Source organism: Homo sapiens, chromosome 12 (genome assembly GCF_000001405.40).
Source record: "Homo sapiens chromosome 12, GRCh38.p14 Primary Assembly".
NCBI classification, from domain to species: Eukaryota; Metazoa; Chordata; class Mammalia; order Primates; family Hominidae; genus Homo; species Homo sapiens.
This window is the reverse complement of record NC_000012.12, coordinates 125,703,987-125,709,937: the sequence shown is the minus strand read 5'-3', so window position 1 is coordinate 125,709,937 and position 5,951 is coordinate 125,703,987. Positions and strand designations below refer to the sequence as shown.

Sequence of the window (5,951 nt, the reverse complement as noted above, 5' to 3'; positions counted from 1 at the left end):
GGGCGTCATGCTTTCACACTGAAAGCTCAAAGGAGGACTTCCAAAGAACTATTCAGTGCTTGGTGGACATGGAAATACTGCTCATGAGTTACACAATGAGGAAAGCTAGAAAGGTGACAGTGTGCTCACCCTCTCAAGAGTGCACTTCTGGCCACCACAGGCCAGGTCCTTGCACACCTTTTTGCACACTTCTTTTTTTTTTTTTTTTGAGATGGAGCCTTGGTCTGTTACCAGGCTGGAGTGCAGTGGCACGATCTTGGCTCACCGCAACCTCTGCCTCCCAGGTTCAAGCAATGCTCCTGCCTCAGCCTCCCGAGTAGCTGGGACAACAGGTGCATGCCACCATGCCCAGCTAATTTTTGTATTTTTAGTAGAGACAGGGTTTCAAGATGTTGGCCAAGATGGTCTCGATCTCTTGACCTGATGATCCGCCCACCTCAGCCTCCCAAAGTTCTGGGATTACAGGCATGAGCCACTGCGCCCGGCCCCTTGCACACCTTTGAAAACACCCAGCTATATCGACGTGTCTGTAGTTTAAGGTGGACATCTGAAAGCCCCAAGTATGCATTTCTTTTTTACATTTCCTACAATTCAGTCATTGCAAAAACTCATTCTCTCCAGTAAGTTTCTTCTGATTGCTTGAACTGAAAAAGGTTTAAATGGAGATCATGTGCCAGGCAGAGAGGGTTTCCTGGTGAACTTCTCTAAGCAGTTAGCGTCCAAATCTGAGCCCACCTGTAAGCTGTTTGGAAACAAAAGAAGGGATCTCACCTGGGTTCTGGATATTTAATCCGTGACTTCACTTAGGCTTGGCAAGAGGGGCCGTAACCTCTAGAAGCAGGCAAAGAAATGGTTGCAGGGAGGCGGCCTTGTGAGGAAAGGGCGAGGCCTGGGAGGCTTTATATCTGGGGAGGAGGCAGGTCCACAGTCAATTCACCTGTGATTTCATCTTCCTGCTCCAGCCAGAGACACTCTCTCCCCTGCCTCCTGTCCTGGACTAAAGACAAGGAGTGAGGATGAAGGGCCAACCCAGACACCAGCTTCCCAGAGAAAAGGCAGAGCTGGGAAGAGCAATGAGCCATGAGGAAGAATGAGCCACTAATGAAAACGCTCATAGCAATCCTAAGTCCACGTCAACACCGGCTGCAGAAAGCAACAGAAATGGACGGCACAAAAATAAGACTTACTCTGTCTTAGAATTATCAGAAGAATTTGAAAACCTAATATATTTGCACAGCCCTTAGAAGACTGCCGGTTGCATCACAAAAGATAGGTGAGCATTAACCACTAAATGTTATTGATTCACACCTGTCTCACCTCTAGCACAGTCTCCCTAAGGACAGTGACCATATTTGATTTAGTTGCCAATGTGTTCTCGGCACTAGCAGGTGCCAGCTTGTAGAAGATGCTCAGTTAACACCTGCCAAACAGACAAATGAGGAACAGTATGGATGCATATGATACTAAGCATTTGCAAGATTAAAATTCAAATATGTTTATCAGAAACTGTGAAATCATGCTGCAGAGCCTTTCTCTAAACACAACTTTTCCAAATGTGGCCTTGATTCTGTCAATTTCCCCAGAGGACCAGCAACCATCTCTAGCTTGTTTTACTTTTTTTAACTTTTATTTCCAACTTTTTTTTAAAAAAAAACTCCTGTCTATTGGGTAAATGCACATTTACAAAACAGGAACAAACAGATGTCTCTCATTAGTACAAGATGGCTTTAATCTTTCTCACAACTTTAATTTTATTTTTCTGTTTAATGTTTATAACATATTTTATGGAATAAAGACTTCAGGCAAACAATGCCATTTCACAAGTTTCCACTCGGGGAAACCCTGCAGAGTTTAGACTGGGGACACCCCAGCTGCCATTTTTAATTGGTTCTGATGTTGGGGAGAAGCAGTCTCTCTTTGGTGCATCGTGGGGTTCACGTGAATGTTTACCTATTTTTCTGTAATGGACTTGCCCCAGTTTCCACTCTTTCCGCCTCACAAACACAGAATGTGCTTTTAAGCTAATTACCTGTATGTGTTTCTTCTCCATCTCTCTGTCTGGCAATTACCTGTATGTGTTTCTTATTCATCTCTCTATCTTCTTCATCTCTCTATCTTCTTCATCTCTCTATTGCCAGAGTTAGGCAATCATGTCCGAAGGCTGTGGACCCATCCCATTTGTGTGAGTGTGGTTGGATGGACGTGAGATGGCTCAATCCCAGATACTTCTTTAAATGCTACGGAGAGAGACATTACACGATTTATCTGTAAGGCCCAAAATGGCCCCCAGGAAACTACCAACATGCCCTTTAATGGGTCAATGGTTAAACAACTGCGGTGTAGGCAGATCATGGAATCCTACTCTGCTAGCAATGAGTAAACTAGTGATACACACAGCAACCTGGATAAATATCAGGGGCGTTGTACTGAGGGAAAGAAAAGCCAGTCTCAAAAAAGTACATGTGACACGACTCCATTTGAATTAAGTTTGTGAAATAACATAGTGATACAGATGAGAACAGACTAGTGGTTACTAGGAAGTAGGGGCTTGGGGAGAAGAGACTGAGGCTCTAGAAGGGTAGCACTAAGGAGTTGTAGGGTGAGGGTACAGTTACGTACCTTGATTGTGGTGGTTACACAAAACTGTCTATGTGGCCAGGTGTGGTGGTGCACACCTTTAATCCCGGCACTTTGGGAGGCCAAGGTGGGTGGATCACCTCAGGTCAGGAGTTCAAGACCAGCCTGGCCAACATGGTGAAACCTCGTCTCTACCAAAAATACAAAATTAGCAGGGTATCGTGGCACACACCTGTAATCCTAGCTACTTGGGAGGCTGAGGCAGGAGAATCGCTTGAACCTGGGAGGTGGAGGTTGCAGTGAGCTGAGATCGTGCCACCGCGTTCCAGCCTGGGCCACAAGACTGAATCTCCAACTCAAAAAAAAAACAAAACAAACAAACAAAAACAAAAAAACTATCCATGTGATAAAATTGCATGGAGCTATAAAGTAAGCACATACAAACACACACGCACATACACACAAGAGTGCATGTATAACTGGCAAAACATGAATGAGCACTGTGTATTGTACCAACATCAATTTCTTAGTTTGATATTGAACTACAGTCATGTGAGATATTAACTTTTTAGGAGGCTGCTCAAGCGTTCACGGCATCTTCCTGCATGTTTCTTTGCAACATCCTAGGAATCCGTAACTATTTCAAAATAGGTATTTAGGAATACATATGTTGGCATGTCAACCTTAAAGAAATTTTAGCTTTGGTTATAAATTCAGTTGCAGCCTATGGATATCCCCTCCTGTAAGCCAGAAATATATATAATATATATCTATTTCAGTGTATCAAAATCCATACACATGTCTGGGGTCTTTACAACCTAACCCAAGAACCTGGGCATCTAAATCTGGTCCACCTAGTCTCTCTCTCTCTCTCTCTCTCTCTCTCTCTCTCTCTCTCTCTCTCTCTCCCTCTCTCTCTCCCTCCTCTCTCTCTCTTCCCCCCCCCTTCCGCATTCAGCTATTGTATGTGCTTCCGTTTTGTGCTAGGAGTCTCGAGTCAGATACTCTTAACTCCATCAAAGACGTATTATTCTGAGACCAAATGTCTTCATTGTCTTCATCTCCCCCCCAGCCTTTGTTTCTCTTCTCTTATAATACATATATGATATTAATTTCTGGTTCTGACTGGCAGGATTCTCCTGGCACTTCCAGAAGAAGGAAGAAAGGAGCAACTATACAGAGATTTCTGACATACCTCAATACAGAATAAGCATTACAGGTTCCAGTTAAGTTCAATAACTAGCCCCACGCACGACAAGGGCCACTCGTCTTCAGCAATTTTCATTCACGATTATTCTTTTTCGTTATGTTCTTCCCTCCAATTCCCTGTGTATCATGATCCTTTTAAAATAAAAAACCTTTAACAGTCCCAATTCATCAGGTTTAAACTTCAGTTTATAGCAGGTGAGCTGTTGATTACTCAGTTTAATTAAAATGTAAACCTTTGCAGCTAAAGTGAATAAGTCAAAACTATAAAACCATCGCAGAAAACTTGAAAATCCTGCCTGAGCATGGTATTCACCCTCCTCCTCCATTCGCACTTGGAGAAGTGTTCTCACTGCCACTTTTCCCTGCCATCCTCTGCCACAGTCGAATCCGAACTAACACCCAGACTGATGATACATTTGCTCCTGGAAAATCATTATCAAAGTGCAGGGCCTGCGCTTTCTCAACAGGACAAGCTGGCTGGGGTCACCGTGCTAACTAAGAGTGTGAAGTGACAGCCCCAAGAAAGAAAAATTCAAATAGGAGGCCATCTCTTCACTTCTGATGACCATTTTTCCATAACCACCCATGTTGGGCACCATCTTGAGGAGGCATTTCTGATGAAAGAAAGACGTTGGATCCACTGGAGTCTAACGTCTAGGAAAGAGACAATAGGTCATAAGTGGACTAACCAAAAATAAGAAAGAAAGGTAAGTTCATTTTCTTCCTTTTCGTTGTTTCATCTGTTCCAAGGCCTCATTCGGCTCATCGAGACAGTAATTTGCATTTAAAAGTACAAAGCAGCTTTCAGAAAGTCTGTGCATTTTATGCCTCAGAGGAAGCAAAGATACCTTTAGGCAGCCAGTCAGGAATAATGAAGAAACACCACCATCAATAACAACAATAAAAACAAGAAAAATGTCTATCTTGTTTGGTGCAGGAAAGTGCCAGGCATTTAGTAGATAATTATTAAATATTTAATAGATGAATGAAAAAAGAAAGGTCACTTAAAATTTATTTTGTATGCCCTCTCTTTTTGTCCATACACATCCTAAATAACTTTGTTGTTACTGTTCCATATAAAATATTTGTTTTAATTATTTAATTATTAAATAATTATTAACTATCTAATTATTAATGCTTACTATTATTAATCTAATTATTAATACTAATCTACATTAACTTAATTACTAATTATTTAATAATTAATTATTTTCAGAGACACCTCCAAAAAGACTGTAATTCTTTGACATCTACACTGATTCCAATACCTTGGAGCTAAATATTAAGCAGGGACTAGACAAATGGCTGCGATACGGACAGGTCAAGGGCAGGAAGGACGTAGAATGGCAGGGGCTGGATGAGTAAAAGCCAAAGGCTGGAAATAACTATGGCCTAACTAGGAGTAATATAGGATGAATGTCTGTTAGGAACGAGTGCAGCCACAGTAATAGAGAGCACATTAACACTTTGTTAAACCACAGAGATATGATTAGCAAGAAGCATTGAAATGCATGGAGAAAGGGTTCAACAGCTCACCTATGTCATCAGGGCTCCAGGCTCATCTCTCACCGTCAGCTGATTGACTTTAATGTGCAGGGTTGTACCTCATGGTAACAATATGGCTGCCACATATCCGGACATCACACCCTCATAGTGCAGCCCCCAAAAGTAAAAGGGAGTAAAAGGGATAGGAATGGGTTTTTTGATTTTGCTTTGTTTTGTTTTGTTTTTTTGCATTACTTTTACTTTTATCAGAGAGAAATTTTTTTTGGAAGATGCCAGAAGACTGCTTCTAAGTATGTCTCAGTGGGTCAAACGATGCATCCAACACCATTGACAGCCACAAAATAATAGAACCACCATAACTGGCATGACAGAACAATCATGATCTATGCCCTGGACTAGAGGATAGGCAAACGCTGCCACCTAATATCTGAAGAAAACTGGCGATGGCTGCTGGGGGAATACCCAGCAACCTTTAATTCCTCTCCTCCTTAACAGACACTGTTCTCCCTTTACAATGAATAGGAAGGAGGCATCAGGCTCATTTCTGTTTTCTTTTTGTCTCTATTTTCATAATTATTTTCTATTATAAACAAATTATGTTGGTTTTCTATTCATACTGTTCATGTGGTTTCCATGTTAAACATTTGTATATAAGGAAC

The 5,951-nt window shown here is 41.8% G+C and overlaps 1 long non-coding RNA gene across 1 annotated transcript; it reads right to left on the bottom strand.

The window, feature by feature from the left end:
- Positions 1-1,987: 1,987 nt before the first annotated feature.
- On the bottom strand, positions 1,988-5,437 carry LOC105370055 (uncharacterized). Its single transcript, XR_945494.2, has 3 exons — positions 5,323-5,437; positions 3,773-3,918; positions 1,988-2,237 (listed from the first exon to the last, which is right to left on the bottom strand). It is a non-coding gene; the product is annotated as an uncharacterized LOC105370055 (long non-coding RNA).
- Positions 5,438-5,951: the final 514 nt, after the last annotated feature.